The sequence below is a fragment of the Homo sapiens genome, chromosome 19 (genome assembly GCF_000001405.40).
Source record: "Homo sapiens chromosome 19, GRCh38.p14 Primary Assembly".
Taxonomy (NCBI): Eukaryota; Metazoa; Chordata; class Mammalia; order Primates; family Hominidae; genus Homo; species Homo sapiens.
In genome coordinates, this window is record NC_000019.10 from 5,162,315 (window position 1) to 5,178,464 (window position 16,150).

Genomic DNA, 16,150 nt, shown 5'->3' on the forward strand with positions numbered 1-16,150 from the left:
GGATCTTTTAGCCTGATTTGGATGGGGCGGGCATTTTTTGCCCTTCCAAATTGTCCTTCCAATGCCCAGACTTCAGGGTTGATTCCCTCCTCAAGTAGGGGACAACAAATGGGTAATTTGTTCCCCATATTCAAGTAAATAATAGCTCCAGCTTTGGCTAATATGTCCCTCCCTAATAAGGGTGTGGGACTTTCAGGCATAACAAGAAAGGCATGTGAATAGAGCAAAGTCTCCCAATTACAACTGAGGAGGTGGGAGAAATACCTGGTTACAGGCTGTCCCAGGATTCCTCGGATGGTAATGGACCTTGAGGACAGCTGTCTGGGGCAGGAGATTAACACTGAGAAGGCTGCACCAGTATCCAGGAGGAAGTCAATTTCCTGGCCCTCATTGGTTAATCATACCCGGGGCTCAGTGAGAGTGATGACATGAGCTGGCGCTTGCCCCAGGCACCCTCAATCCTGTTGTTGGATCATCTGGTTGGGGGCTTCTGGCCCACAGAGCCTTTGCCCTCTGGGGCAGTGCACCTTCCAGTGATTGCCTCAGCATAGTGGACATGGGCTAGGGGGCAGCTTGTTTCTCATTGGACAATCTTTTTTAAAGTGTCCTTGCAAACCACACTGATAACAAGCCCTACTAGGTGATTGGCCTGTTCCATTTTCTGTCCTCTCTGAACCACCAAGGTTTGTTTGTCTGAGGGCCATGACTAAGGCTGTGGCCTTCCTCTGATCTCGCTTTTCCTTTTCGGCCTGTTTCTCTTGGTCCCTATTATAGAACACCGAGGTTGCCCGGTTTAACAATGCATCCAGATTTTGTTCAGGGCCCAGGGCTCACTTTTGGAGCTTTCTCCTGATATCTTCACTGATTGGGTAATAAAGTTATGTTTGAGGATCAGTTGACCCTCGAGAGAGTCAGGTGACAGGGGAGTATATTTTCTTAAGGCCTCCTATAGCCACTCGAGGAAGGCGGTAGGATTTTCTTCCTTTCCCTGAGTTGTGGTGGACATCATTGAATAATTCATGGGGTTTTTCCTAATTCTCCTTAGTCCTTCTAGAACACAGGTCAACAGATGTTTGCGACTCCAGTCCCCATGATCTGAGTCGAGGTCCCAGTGGGGATCCATACTGGGGATGGCTTGCTGACCAGTAGGGAATTTGTCCCTTTCTTCAGCTGTCATCCTATCATTTACTTGATTAAGATAAAAGGTATCTCCAAACTCTTGGGCTGCAGCTAAAGCTCCATTCTTTTCATTAAAGACCAGGGTTTGATCTAACAATAGCATGACATCTCTCCAAGTGAGGTCAAAGGTTTGCCCTAGACCCTATAGGACATCTGTATACCTATCAGGATCATCTGAAAACTTCCCCAGGTCTACCTTGATCTGCTTTAAATCGAGAGGGAGAAGGGACATGTACCCAGATTGGGCCAAAATCCCTACCCCTATAGCTTGAAGGGGACATAAATGATAGCCCAGGGGGTTTTGTGGTCCCTTGGAGATTTCTTTGCTTGTTTCCTTCTGGGTGGGGGAGATTAGACGAGGCTTATCCTTAATAGGAATGGGAGCTGTAGGAAGGCTAGGATATAGAGGTAAGCTGAGAGCTCCTCCTGTGGGATGTAAATTGCAAGCTTTGCATAGTTGTGGATTCTCCTTCAATGAAAAGAAAGCTTGGACATAAGGTATTTCACTCCATTTGCCTTCCCTCTTACAGAAAAAGTCAAGCTGCATGATAGTATTGTAATTTATACTTCCTTCAGGTGGCCATTTTTCCCCATCAGAGAGAGAATATTGGGGCAAGGCCATAGTGCAGAAAAAAAAAATGAGCCACCTCTTTTTCAGGGTTTCTGGGTCAAATTGGTCCCAGTGGCTTAGGATGCATTTCAAGGTTGAGCCTGTTGATGCCTGAGTGTTTCCCATGTGAAAGAAAAACTGCTCGCAGTTTTGGTTTGTTTTCCCCCCTCCCCCACCCAAGAACCTGCAACAGTCCCTGGACCCTGCTGATCGTAATAGTTGCGCTCACCGAAGCAGCAGCAGAAACACTAGTTTTCCTCCTAGACCACAAAGAGGACTGAGGAAGGTCAGATTTAGTGGCCCTTACTGATGCATTCTCGGAAACATGCATCCTTGCCTTTCCTCTTAGACCACAAAGAAGACTGAGAAAAAACAGATTTAGTGGCCCTTACCAACACATTCTCGAAGACCTGTTAGAGTCCTAAGCATTTTCTCCTGTTAGTATTGGGACCTTACCCTTGTTCTATAAAGATGTTATGTCTCAAAATGGAGTGAAGGGCCATACCCTGAGGGAGGGAAGGGATCTCTAGAGTGATGCCTTTTGTCCTCACTTCTCATCATGTGAATAGGAAGGATATCATTTCTGAGGCTCCCCATATCCTAGCTTTGGGAATAGCCTTTGTTAGGCCTGCTAGTCTGAGGAGGGATCCTAAAATTCCAGATAGTCTCCCCACTGACAGGGCTTTGGGCAAAGATTGTCTTTCTGATTGGTGAGCCCAGATGCCTAAAGAAAGGAACAGAGTCCTGAAATGTATACTAGAAGTCGTTCTTATAGGAGAAACTAGAAAAGCACCAGAGACAGGGAGTGGTTTTTAGAAACAGGACTAGCCTCGGAGAGGAGAGGTGGGAGGAAGTATGTCTGACAGGCATTAGGACCCAGGAGGCAAGGGTCAGGATAGATAGGATAAATGGGCAAGTCTCGCTTGGGTGACGTGACTTTGAGAGTTCCGCTCATGGCTGCAGGGTCAACCAACTTTTTGTCAGGGCCCTGGAGCTAAATGGCTTTCCTCTCTGTTGACACTTGGCTCAGTCCGGAAGTACAGGAAAAGTGGAAGCTGGTTCCAGGCAAACCAACGCTCCCAACTCCAAAGAGTTGGGGATTGTTAGAGAGCCCTTTCCCAGAAAGCCCGACACCAGTGTCTTTAGTCTGGTGGCCACGCTAGTTGCTTTTAACTGGCCGACAAGTGCCCGGTGTTTAGCCCCTGAATTCTAAGGAAAAATAGGACAGAATAGCAAGCAAAATGGGTCCGATGGTACTCACCAAAAGGCGATATCCCAGACAAGCCCCCAAGATGTGTCCAGAGTTGGTTCCTTCCAGTGGGTTCGTGGTCTCGCTGACTTCAAGAATGAAGCCGCGGACCTTCGTGGTGAGTGTTACAGCTCTTAAAGGTGGCACGGACCCAAAGAGTGAGCAGCAGCAAGATTTATTATGAAGACCAAAAGAACAAAGCTTCCACAGCGTGGAAGGGGACCCGAGCGGGTTGCTGCTGCTGGCTGGGGCGGCCAGCTTTTATTCCCTTATTTGTCCCTGCCCATGTCCTGCTGATTGGTCCATTTTACAGAGTGCTGATTGGTCCATTTTACAGAGCACTGATTGGTGCATTTTACAAACCTCTTGTAAGACAGAAAAGTTCTCCAAGTCCCCGCTCGACCCAGGAAGTCCAGTTGGCCTCACCTCTCAGTCTTATCAATTCTGCCAGCTGCTACTGAGCCCTTGCACTGTGCTAGTTTTTCCCAAGCCCACACACACACTGGGGAGCCAGACACTGAGGATACAGCAAGTTCTTGCCCCACAAAGCCCATGCCCTTTAGAGGAGACAGATGCCAGCATCAACATTACCAGGTGTTAAGAAAGTACCTGGGAATAGTCTGAGTCCTTCAAAAAGTTAAACACAGACCAGGCTTGGTGGCTCATGCCTATAATCCCAGCACTTTAGGAGTCCGAGGCGGGTGGATCACCTGAGGTCAGGAGTTCATGACCAGCCTGGCCAACATGGTAAAACTCCATCTCTACTAAAAATACAAAAATTAGCTGGGGGTGGTGGTGAGCTCCTGTTATCCCAGCTACTCGGGAGGCTGAGGCAGGAGAATCAATTGAACCCAGGAGGGTTGCAGTGAGCTGAGACCGCACCATTGCACTCCAGCCTGGGCGACAAGAGTGAAACTCCATTTCAAATAAAAAGTTAAACACAGAGTCACTGTATGACCCAGGAATCTGACTTCCAGGATACACCAAAAGAATTGGAAGCAGAGACTCAGATGTTTGCACACCATGGTCATAGCAACATGATTCACAGTGGCCAAAAGGTGGAAACAATCCAAGTGTCTGTTGTTTGATGGATGGGTAAACACAATGTGATCCATCCATACAATGGAATATCACTCAGCCATTAAAAGGAATGGGGGTCTGACACAGGCTACAGTAGTGTGGATGAACCTTGGCATCATGCTCAGTGAAAGAAGCCAGACACAAAAGGCCACACAGTGTGTGATCCCATATCTATGAAATGTCCAGGACAGGTCAATCTACAGAGACAGGAAGGGGATTGTAGGTTGCCAGCAGCTGGGGCCAGGGGAATGAGGAGTGGCTATTTAATGGGCATAGGGTCTTCTTTGGGGGTATTTGGGAATTAAAGAGAATTGGTGACTGCACAGCACTGAGTGTGTCAAATGTCACTGAATTGTTCACTTTCAAATGGCTAACTTTATGTGAATCTCACCTCAATGAAAAAGAAATACGGGAAGGATAGACAAGAAACTAAGGATGTTGGTTACCTACAGGGGCAGGTGGGAAATTATTTAAAAGAATTAGGGCAGTAGGCAAGGTGGCTCATGCCTGTAATCTCAGCACTTTAGGAGGCCAAGGTGGGAGGATTGCTTGAGGCCAGGATTTCGAGACCAGTCTAGGCAACATAGCAGGACCCTATCTCTGAAAAAAAAATTGTTTTTAATTAGCCAGACGTGGTGGTGCACACCTGTAGTCCCAGCTACTCAGGAAGCTGAGGTAGGGGGATCATTTGAGCCTAGGAGGTCAGGGATGCAATGACTCGTGATTGTGCTACTGCACTCCAGCCTGTGTGACAGAGCCAGATCCCATCTCTTAAAAAAAAAAAAAAAAAAAAAAAAGGCTAGGTGCGGAAGCTTATGCCTGTAATCCCAGCACTTTGGGGGCCAAGGCAGGTGGATCACGAGGTCAAGAGATCGAGACCATCCTGGCTAACACAGTGAAACCCCGTCTCTACTAAAAATACAAAAAATTAGCCAGGCGTGGTGGCGGGCGCCTGTAGTCCCAGCTACTCGGGAGGCTGAGGCAGGAGAATGGCGTGAACCCGGGAGGCGGAGCTTGCAGTGAGCCGAGATCGCGCCACTGCACTCCAGCCTGGGTAACAGAGGGAGACTCTGTTGCAAAAAAGGAAAAGAAAAAAAAAAAAGAGGCTGGAAGTGGTATGGGAAAAAGAGTAGCAGGAATGAAGAGGGAGTGCCCACTCTCTGAGAACCATTTGGTATAGCTCTGACTGAAAAATCATAGTCATGTTATACACACTTTAAAAGATAACTGATTAAAATCAAGGATATGATGTGTACTCCAAATGGAAAACAAATAGTAAAATATAAACTCAGCTGCACCACAAATGAAAATCAACCACACTGAAGAGCCAGGGGAAGAATGGAGTTGATCTCAGTAAATTTGGGAAACAATGTTTCCACTGGATACTGTTAGGCTAAAAATGAAAATACCTATACACCAACACTATACTCTAGTTCAAAAATCTAGTTCTCATGGCTTAGCCATCTGTACCTACTATATGTGAATATTGCAATTGAGCAAATGAGTGAATTAATTGTAGATGAGCTAGGTTTCTCTCTGTCAGCGAAAAAAGTTACGTCAAGGGTAAAGGAAGCGGCTAGAATGAACATTGTGCTGGTTGGAATCAGAAGTGTCAGTATAGGCTGGGCGCAGTGGCTCATGCCTGTAATCCCAGCACTTTGGGAGGCCAAGGTGGGTGGATCATGACGTCAGGAGATCGAGACCATCCTGGCTAACACAGTGAAACCCTGTCTCTACTAAAAACAAAAAAAAAATTAGCTGGGCGTGGTTGTGGGCGCCTGTAGTCCCAGCTACTCGGGAGGCTGAGGCAGGAAAATGGCATGAACCCAGGAGGCAGAGCTTGCAGTGAGCCGAGATTGCGCCACTGCACTCCAGCCTGGGTGACATAGCGAGACTCCGTCTCAAAAAAAAAAAAAAAAAGTGTCAGTATCAATCCATGATTTTCTAATATATATATATAGACAGATGTTATAGAAATATATAGTCAGTACATATAGATGCAGAAATAAATATGTAAGTATATATATTTATATTATGAATACAGGTGAAAGGGCTCAAACTTGTAATCCCAGCTATTTGGGAGACCAGGGTGGCTTGGGGAGAATCGCTTGAGGCTAGGAGTTCAAGACCAGCCTGGACAACATAGCACAGCCCCATCCCTACAAAAAGAAAAATGTTAAGAAGAAATAAATAAAGATGTGTGTACACATGGCTAATCTGATACCCCAATAGCAGTGAGCATACTAGCACCCCGATCTAAATACCATTCTCCAATAAAAGGAACCAGGGGAGGAATCACTGATTTTATGACTGGGACAGAGAAAACACAAGACAAGGTACAGGCACATACCGCTGTGCCCAGCTAATTTTTTATTTTTTTTGTAGAGATAGGGGTCTCACTTTGTCGCCCAGGCTGGTCTTAAAGTCCTGGGCTCAAGCGATCCTCCCGCCTTGGCCTCCCAAAGTTGGCCATACCCAGCCTACATGAATGATTCGATGGGGGTCTGGGCTCGGTGACTCATGCCTGTAATGCCAGCACTGTGGGAGGCTGAGGTGGGCAGATCACCTGAGGTCAGGAGTTCGAAACCAGCCTGGCCAACATCGCAAAAACCCATCTCTACTAAAAATACAAAAATTAGCTGGGCGTGGTGGTGGGCACCTGTAATCCAAGCTACTCGGGAGGCTGAGGCAGGAGAATCACATGAACCCAGGAGGTGAGCCGAGATCATGCCACTACACTCTAGCCTGAGCAATACAGCAAGACTCCATCTCAACAACAAAAAAAAAAAAAAAAAAGAGAGAGAGAGAGAGAGAAAGAAAAACAGAAAACACAAGATAAACCTGAAGCATCTTGTGTTCCCAGAAAATAAGGAAATGCTCAAAAAAGGGTATAGATATATAGAAAGGACACCAGACCCAACCGAAGCAGCTCCCAGTGGCTGAAGCTGAAACAATTTGAACAATAAAATTAGTGACAGTGTGGGATTATCACCTAGAGAATAAAATAAATATCCAAACTGCTATAAGTAATTGAATAAATACCTAAATGGAGGGAGAAGGGACAGATCTTCCTTACAGATGAGTCACATTACACGTAAGAGGGAGAAGTAATGGCTTAGTCCCTTTGTGCCACTACAAGAGAATATCATGGACTGGGTAATTTACAAAGATCATAGATTTATTTCTCGTGGTTCTGGAGGCTGGAAAGTCCAAGATCAAGGCTCCAGCCTCTGGTGAAGGCTGCTCTCAGCTTCCAGAATGATGTCTTGAATGCCACCTTCTCACATGTCAGAAGGCAGGATGGGAAAGGAGTCAAAATCTCCAGGAAACCTTTTATAATGGCACGAATCCTAAACACCTCCCCCAAAGGCCCCATCTCCCAACACTGTTGCATTGGAGAATCAGTTTCCAACACATGACTTTGGGGGGACCCATTCAGACCATAGCAAAGAGAAAGGAGTTTACATTCAGTCACTCAGAAAACACCTTCACTTTCCTGGTGTTATCCCAGGAGCTTGGGCCACACTGGGCAAATATGGGGAAAAAAAAGAAAAATCCCTGCCCACAGCAGCTCACAGCCCCTCGGGGAGACGGATGAGATAAATAACCAAATTGGGGAGCAGGTTAGAAGGTTGTACATGCTATGCGATAAAAGAAGAAGGAAGAAGAAGGAGGAGGAGAGAAAGGAGGAGGAGGAAAGAAGAAAAAGAAGGAAAAAGAAGAAAGAAGAAAACTAACGGTGATGGGAACAACTGTATTAGGTTGGTGCAAAAGTCATTGCAGCACACAATGACTTTTGCACTAAGCTAAATATATAGGTTGTTCAGGGTCCCACTGAGAAGGTGACATTTGAGCAGAGACCTGAAGGGAGAGAGTGAGTCAAGTGTATATTTGGAGGACGAGAGCTCCAGGCAGAGTGCACAGCCCATGCAAAGGTCCTGGGGCAGGACTGTGCCTGGTGTGCTGGAGGAACAGTGAGGAGGGCCCTGTGGCTGCAGCAGAGTGAGCCAGGGGAAGAGAGGAAGGAGGGGAGGGCAGCAAGGTGATGAACATGTCATGCAAGGCCTTGTGGACCTTAGGCTGTGACCCTGAGGAAGGTGGGAGCCATGGAGGGCTGTGGGCAGAGGAGGGACAGGACCTGACTCAGGTGCTCACAGGCGCCCTCTACTGGCTGCTGCAGGGAGGACAGGCTGTGGGTTGGTGGCGGTGGGGCAGTGAGGACGGGAACAGGTGGACCAGTGCAGAGAGGACTGGGCTGGTGCAGGGTGGAGGCAGAGGAGAAGAAGAGAAAGCAAACAAAAGGAGATGTAAAAGAAGCTGAGAAGGCTGGGCCACGGTGGCTCACGCCTGTAATCCCAGCACTTTGGGAGGTTGAGGCAGGTGGATCACCTGAGGTCAGGAGTTCGAGACCAGCCTGGCCAACATGGTGAAACCCCATCTCTACTAAAAATACAAAAATTAGCCAGGCGTGGTGGTGGGCGCCTGTAATCTCAGTTACTTGGGAGGCTGAGGCTGGAGAATCGCTGGAATCCAGGAGGTGGAGGTTGTAGTGAGCTGAGATCGCACCACTGCACTCCAGCCTGGGAGACAGAGTTAGACCTCTAACTGGGAACTGACTTGTTCCCAGTGGCTCCCAGTTATGGGTGAGCCACAGCAAAGCCGGCTTCTCTGTGCATGTTAGCATCTGCGTGTTTCTCTAGAACAATTTCCTGAAGAAACAAAAGGGGAGATTGCCAAATGGAAGTATCTGTAATTTTATTTTGTTTATTTATTTTTTTTTCTGAGAGTCTCACTTTGTTGCTCAGGCTGGAGAGCAGTAGCGTGATCAGGAGTTCCTGCAGCCTCAACCTTCTGGGCTCAAGCAATCCTCCCACCTCACCCTCCCAAGTAATTGAGACTACAGGCAGAGCCACCACACCCAGCTAATTTTTAAATTTTTTGTACAGATGGGGGGTCTCACTATGTTGCCCAGGCTGGTCTTGAACTCCTGGGCTCAAGCAATCCTCTCACCTCAGCCTCTCAAAGCACTGGGATTACAGCACAAGCCACAGTGCCTGGCCTGTAATTTTACTTCTAATCCTGCAGCCAGGTCACCCCAAATGCCTTGTGCACCCCCGATGTGTGGTAAAGGAGGGTGTGCACTTCCCGCTATCTACCCAGATGTAAGCTGTTACCACGTTTTTGTGATCTGTTTGATAAATCAAAAGTGATATCTGATTATGGCTTAAACATTCATTCCTCTTAGAACGAGCGAGGTTGAGTATACTCTCATTGGATTAAAAGCCTTTTGTCAGAACTGTCTTGAAACATACTATTTTTTAAATTCCACGATGGCCATTTCCCGTCAGTGAGAGGGTTGATTTGATGTTTAATCTTTTGCGTTTCTACATCCATCTAGCTCAGCGTCAGTTGCTGAGATCTGGGTCAGGGGTCACACCCAGCTTTTTCTTCTCTTACGTTTGATGTTGATAAATGAGAAAAACCAGGTCAGGTGTGCTGGCTCATGCCTGGCATTCCAACGGTTGAGGAAGCTGAGGCGGGAGGATCACTTGAGGCCAAGAGTTTAAGACCAGCCTGGGCAACAGAGTAAGACTTCGTCTCTACCAAAAAATCAAAAAGTGAGCTGGGCGTGGTGGTGGGCACCTGTAGTCTCAGCTACTCAGGAGGCTGAGATAAGAGGATCACTTGAGCCCAGGAGTTTGAGGCTGCAGTGAGCTACGATCACACCACTGCACTCCAGCCTGGGCGAAAGAATGAGACCCTGTCTTTAAAAAAAAAAAAAAAAAAAGGCCTCATGTCGTGGCACATGCCTGTAATCCCAGCACTTTGGGACGCCAAAGTGGGCAGATCGCCTGAGGTCAGGGGTTCAAAACCAGCCTGACCAACATAGTAAAACCCTGTCTCTACTAAAAATACAAAATTAGCCGGGTGTGGTGGCACATGCCTGTAATCCCAGCTACTTGGGAGGCTGAGGCAGGAGAATCGCTTGAACCTGGGAGGCAGATGTTGCAGTGAGCCCAGATTGCACCACTGCACCACTGCACTCCAGCCTGGGCAACAAGAGTGAGACTCCGTATCAAAAAAAAAAAAAAAAAAAAAAGAGAGAAAGAAAGCCGAGTGCGGTGGCTCACGCCTGTAATCCCAGCACTTTGGGAGGCTGAAGAGGGCAGATCACAAGGACAGGAGATGAGACCATCCTGGCTAACATGGTGAAACCCCGTCTCTACTAAAAATACAAAAAATTAGCCGGATGTGGTGGCGGGCGCCTGTAGTCCCAGCTACTTGGGAGGCTGAGGCAGGAGAATAGCTTGAACCCAGGAGGTGGAGGTTGCAATGAGCCAAGATCACGCCACTGCACTCCAGCCTGGATGACAGAGTGAGACTCCGTCTCCAAAAAAAAAGAGAGTGATGGGGCTCACACCTGTAACCCCAATACTTCACAGAGCTGAGGAGGGAGGATCACTTGAAGTCAGGAGGTTGAGGTCAGCCTGGGCAGCATAGCAAGACTGTCTGTACTAAATTTTTTTTAATTAGCTGAGCGTGATGGTGCATGCCTGAGTCCCAGCTACTTGGGAGGCTGAGGCGGGAGGATCGCTTGAGCCCAGGAGTTCAAGGCTGCAGTGAGCTATGATCACACCACTGCACTCCAGCCTGGGTGACAGAGCAAGATCCTGTCTTAAAATAAATAAAATAAAAATTTTCTAAATCCTGCAAATAATCTTATCGGAAGCATTTAGATCGAATTTTTAAATATACTCCACAGTGAATCATCCATTTCTGTCTCCAACAGGAAAAGAAAATCATGATGAATCAGCGAAAGGTCACACCCTTGGTGACTGAGCCATTTGTGCAAAAGCTTCATTCTTTTCCAGAAACCCCAGTTTGTCCTCAGAGTTAAGACTGTCAGCTCCAAAGGGATGGCCCCAGGCTGTGCTAGTAACTGAAAACCTCCCCACGACACAAGCCTGAAATAACCGCTGTGGGTGTGGGTGGTGTTATTGATGTCACAAAGAAATATCATCTCAAAACTCATGTTTCAAAAATGCTTGTGAGGGCTGGGTATGGTGGCTCAGGCTTGTAATCCCAGCACTCTGGGAGGCCAAGGGAGGTGGATCACTTGAGGTCAGGAGTTTGAGACCAGCCTGACCAGGTCAGGAGTTTGAGACCCAACATGGTGAAACCCCATCTGTACTAAAAATATAAAAATTAGCCGGGTGTGATGGCGCGTGCCTGCAATCCCACCTACTCAGGAGGCCGAGGCACGAGAATTGCTTGAACCTGGGAGGTGTGGGTTGCAGTGAGCAAAGATTGCCCCAGTGCACTCCAACCTGGGCAACAGAGCGAGACTCCATCTCAAAAGAAAAAAAAAAGACAAAAACAGGCCAGGAGCGGTGGCTCACGCCTGTAATCCCAGCACTTTGGGAGGCTGAGGCGGGCGGATCACGAGGTCAGGAGATCGAGACCATCCTGGCTAACACGGTAAAACCCCGTCTCTACTAAAAATACAAAAAATTAGCCGGGCGTGGTGGCGGGCACCTGTAGTCCCAGCCACTCGGGAGGCTGAGGCAGGAGAATGGCGTGAATCCAGGAGGCGGAGCTTGCAGTGAGCCGAGATTGAGCCACTGCACTCCAGCCTGGGCGAGACTCCGTCTAAAAAACAAACAAACAAACAAAACACGTATAAGCACCTTTTTCCAGGAATGCCAACATCCTTCCAAGGGAAAAGAGCAAAGTCTCGTCACCACGGTCCAGCTTGTCCTACAGCTGATGAGGGTGATGGAGCTGCTGTAATGTCTGTCGTTTTCTTCACTGGAAGATGAGAAGATAAATGTGGGCGGTCTTTGCTGAATAAAGCAGTGTGGGATTTGTGGTTCCCGAGCAAACTGTGTTTGGGTAGCAAGGGCCCTTTCTGGTTGCTCCCCAAGCTGGTCGCCTTTCTGGACTGACCCCACCCACCCTCCCCAAGTTACTCTGTGGCCCCCAAAACAAAGTTTTTTTGTTTTGTTTGAGACGGAATCGCACTCTTGTCGCCCAAGCTGGAGTACAGTGGCGCGATCTCGGCTCACTACTACCTCCGCTTCCCGGGTTCAAGTGATTCTCCTGCCTCAGCCTCCCAAGTAGCTGGGACTACAGGCACCCACCACCATACCCAGTTAAGTTTTGTATTTTTAGTACAGATGGAGTTTCACCATGTTGGCCAGGCTGGTCTCAAACTCCTGACCTCAGGCGATCCACCCGCCTTGGCCTCCCAAAGTGCTGGGATTACAGGCATGAGCCACTGTGCCCGGCACTTCTTCCATCTTTACCTGGTGGTCATTAGATGTTCAACCCTGGGGGTGTTGGGAGACACCCCCAGAGGGCAGGCCAGGGCCTGGCCTGCAGCTATTATTACAGGCTAAGTTAGCAATTGACAATTGAGGACTTACTATGTGGCAGCCACAGGTCCTTCCTTCCTTCCTTCCTTCCCTCCTTCCGTCCCTCTTTTCTTTTCTTTTCTTTCTCCCTCTGTCACCCAGGCTGGAGTGCAGTGGCACGATCTTGGCTCACTGCAGCCTCTGTCTCCCAGGTTCAAGTGATTCTTGTGCCTCAGCCTCCTGAGTAGCTGAGATTACAGGTGTGTGCTACCACACCTGGCTAATTTTTGTGTTTTTAGTAGACAAGGGATTTCACCATGTTGGCCAGGCTGGTCTTGAATTCCTGACCTCAAGCGATCCTCCCACCTCAGCCTCCCCAAGTGCTGGGATTACAGGCATGAGCCACTGTGCCCAGCCCATCTAATTTTTGTTTTTGTTTTTTGAGACAGAGTCTCACTCTGTCTTGCCCAGGTTAGAGTGCAGTAGCTCGATCTTGGCTCACTGCAGCCTCTGCCTCCTGGATTCAAGCGATTCTCCTGTCTCAGCCTCCAGAGTAGCTGGGATTATAGGTGCCTGCCACCACGCCTGGCTAATTTTTGTATTTTTAGTAGAGATGGGGTTTCACCATGTTGGCCAGGCTGGTCTCAAACTCCTGATCTCAGGTGATCCACCAACCTCAGCCTCCCAAAGTGCTGGGATTACTGGCGTGAGCCACCGTGCCTGGCCCATCTAATATTTTTTTAAATGTTTATTGAGACCTTATTTACATATCAGTCAATAAACATATCTTCAGTTGTATGGTTCAATAAGTTTGACAAATGCATACGCTCGCATAACCAAAACAAGATATAGGGCACTTCACTCCCTCCAGAATATTCCCTTGTCAACCCTCCACACTCAGTGGCAACTACGGATCTGTTTTCTCCAACTATCAGTGAGAATTACATGTTTAGCACTTCATATAAATGGAATTGTGCAGAATGTCACCATTTGTGTCTGGCTTCTTTCCCTTGGTGCAATGCATTTCAGATTCACCCCAAAACAGCCATGTTTCTTTCTTTTTTTTTTTTTTTTTTGAGACGGAGTCTCACTCTGTTGCCCAGGCTGGAGTGCAGTGGTGCAATCTCGGCTCACTGCAGGCTCTGCCTCCTGGGTTCACACCATTCTCCTGCCTCAGCCTCCTAAGTAGCTGGGACTACAGGCACCCACCACCACGCCCTGCTAATTTTTGTATTTTGGGTAGAGACGGGGTTTCACCTTGTTAGCCAGGATCGTCCCGATCTCTTGACCTTGTGATCCGCCCGCCTCGGCCTCCCAAAGTGCTGGGATTACCGGCATGAGCCACCACGCCCGGCCAACAACAGCCATGTTTCTAAAGTGCAGTCCTTTTTCATTGCTGTGTAGTATTCCATTGTATTGATGGGCCACAGTGTGTTTATACATTTACCAGTTGATGGACATTTGGCAATTGCAGTTGGAGCAACTGTGAACTCATTCATGCACACAGCTCTTTGTGGGTATCTTGTGATATTTTACCCTCCAATTTCACTCAGTCTCATGGAACTTTCTCCTACCAGGGACACCTATGGTAAGGTGATTTCCAGCATGGGAACTTTGCTAAAGAAAGGGGCAATTGGGCCGGGTGTGGTGGCTCACGCCTGTAATCCCAATACTTTGGGAGGCTGAGGCAGGCAGATCACGAGGTTAGGAGATCGAGACCATTCTAGCTAACACCATGAAACCCCATCTCCACTAAAAATACAAAAAATTAGCTGGGCGTGGTGGTGGTGGTGGTGCATGCCTGTAATCCTAGCTACTCAGGAGGCTGAGGCAGGAGAATCGCTTGAACCTGGGAGGCAGACATTGCAGTGAGCTGAGATTGCACAATTGCCCTCCAGCCTGGGCGACAGAGCAAGACTCTGTCTCAAAAAAAGAAAGAAAGTGGCAATCGGCCAGATGTGGTGGCTCACTCTTGTAATCCCAGCACTTTGGGAGGCTTGTAATCCCAGCACCTGGATCGCCTGAGTCCAGGAGTTTGAGACCAGCCTGGACAACATAATGAAACCCCATCTCTACCAAAAATACAAAACAAACAAACAAGAACAAAACAAAACAAAACAAAACAAAAACAGCCGGGCGTGGTGGCTCAGCACTTTGGGAGGCCGAGGCGGGCGGATCACCCGAGGTCAGGATTTCAAGACCAGCCTGGCCAACATGGGGAAACCCCGTCTGTACTAAAAGTGCACAAATTAGTCAGGCGTTGTGACACATGCCTGTAATACCAGCTACTCAGGAGGCTGAAGCAGGAGAATTGCTTGAGCCTGGGAGGCAGAGGTTGCAGTGAGCTGAGATCAGGCCACTGCACTCCAGCCTAGGCAACAAGAGCCAGACTCTGTCTCAAAAAAAAGAAAAAAAAATTAGCTGGGTGTATGGCATGGGTCTGTAGTCTCAGCTACTTGTGCAGCTGAGGCGAGAGGATCTCTTTAGCTCAGGAAGTCGAGGCTGCAGTGAGCTGAGATTGCACCATGGCACTCCAGCCTGGGTGACAAAATGAGACCCTGAAAACAAAAAAGAAAAGAAATAGAGAGGAAAGAAAGAAAGAAAGAAAGGAAAGAAGAAAGAAAGAAAGAAAAAGAGAAAGAGAAAGAAAGAGAGAGAAAGAAAAGAAAAGAAAAGAGTGGCAGTGGCTGTCCTTGTACCTAATCATAGGACAGAGGGGAGACCAGACCCAGCATAGGTGAGGGAAGCCGTCAGGGTCATTAGTGGCAGCTGGTGTGTCTGAAACAGCCATGGTAGGGCAGCAGGATGACCCAGACAGGACCTTCGGTTTATCACAGGGGACAGGAGTGGAAATCAAGAGACCCTAGAGGGCCTGGGGATCACTTGAAAAGGGTCACAATGATAGCATCAGGTGGGGCTCATGGTCCAGCCCTGCCCCCCTGGAGAAGGAGCACAGGGCAGCCTCTGAGCCCCGGCCTCGGCATCAGTGCGGTTGACACCGGGGCCATCACCATCTGATAATAGGTTCTGTTTGGAACAGCTGCCTGGTGACAAGTATAATAAAACGTATTAACGAGGCCATTATTACTCCCTAATTAAAAGCTAATAACTAAGAGTTAATTGCCTTTAAAAGATGAAGCAAGGCTGGGCTGGGACTTATCTCTGTTTTCCTTTGCTTGCCTGGATAGGCTGATATTTGGGAACTAATTAATTGAGTCGAATCTTACAGGAAACTAATATCTCCTCTGCCATTGCGGCTGTTGGATTAAAAAGCGTTTGCTGTGTGTCTGGGCATTTCTGTGGAAAGGTCTCCTGTGTCCACTGTTCTTGCCGGGGCGGGGGTGGTGGTGGTGAGGCTTCAAGGTGCGGCTATGGGGGGCTGCTTGTCCTCTCCTTTCCTGCTGATTCTCCCGCAATGGTAGCCCAAGCATCCATGCAATTTGTGAGTCAGAATGCTCAGATGCTGTTCCAGGGAACAGACGGGCCGAGCTTATATCACAGATCTATCGTCGTCATCATCATCACCGTCATTAAAAAAAAAAATCAGGCTAGGCTCTGTGGCTCATGCCTGTAATCCCAGCATTTTGGGAGGCCAAGGCAGGTGGATCCCCTGAGGTCAAGAATTCCAGACCAACCTGGCCAACGTGGCAAAACCCCCTCTCTACTAAAAATACAAAA

General features: G+C 48.2%; 1 long non-coding RNA gene across 1 annotated transcript, besides 5 other annotated features; it reads left to right on the forward strand.

Annotated features, from left to right (window-relative positions):
* Positions 3,246 to 3,465: a silencer, noted in NCBI's record as "fragment chr19:5165571-5165790 (GRCh37/hg19 assembly coordinates)". NCBI's record gives its function as "represses an EF-1alpha promoter that drives an FKBP-Casp9 reporter gene in an ReSE screen in K562 erythroleukemia cells {active_cell/tissue: K562}" and the evidence as "EXISTENCE:reporter gene assay evidence [ECO:0000049][PMID:32094911]".
* Positions 10,350 to 11,549: an enhancer, noted in NCBI's record as "MED14-independent group 3 enhancer chr19:5172675-5173874 (GRCh37/hg19 assembly coordinates)". NCBI's record gives its function as "activates an origin of replication core promoter dependent on BRD2, BRD4, P300/CBP and CDK7 cofactors, and independent of MED14, by STARR-seq in HCT116 cells {active_cell/tissue: HCT116}" and the evidence as "EXISTENCE:reporter gene assay evidence [ECO:0000049][PMID:35650434]".
* Positions 11,631 to 11,822: a silencer, noted in NCBI's record as "fragment chr19:5173956-5174147 (GRCh37/hg19 assembly coordinates)". NCBI's record gives its function as "represses an EF-1alpha promoter that drives an FKBP-Casp9 reporter gene in an ReSE screen in phorbol 12-myristate 13-acetate-treated (for megakaryocytic differentiation) K562 erythroleukemia cells {active_cell/tissue: K562(+PMA)}" and the evidence as "EXISTENCE:reporter gene assay evidence [ECO:0000049][PMID:32094911]".
* Positions 14,454 to 14,543: an enhancer, noted in NCBI's record as "active region_13798". NCBI's record gives its function as "activates an Ori minimal core promoter by ATAC-STARR-seq in GM12878 lymphoblastoid cells {active_cell/tissue: GM12878}" and the evidence as "EXISTENCE:reporter gene assay evidence [ECO:0000049][PMID:35858748]".
* Positions 14,554 to 14,603: an enhancer, noted in NCBI's record as "active region_13799". NCBI's record gives its function as "activates an Ori minimal core promoter by ATAC-STARR-seq in GM12878 lymphoblastoid cells {active_cell/tissue: GM12878}" and the evidence as "EXISTENCE:reporter gene assay evidence [ECO:0000049][PMID:35858748]".
* Positions 15,432 to 16,150, forward strand: PTPRS-AS1 (PTPRS antisense RNA 1). The gene has a single exon (NR_186338.1). It is a non-coding gene; the product is annotated as a PTPRS antisense RNA 1 (long non-coding RNA).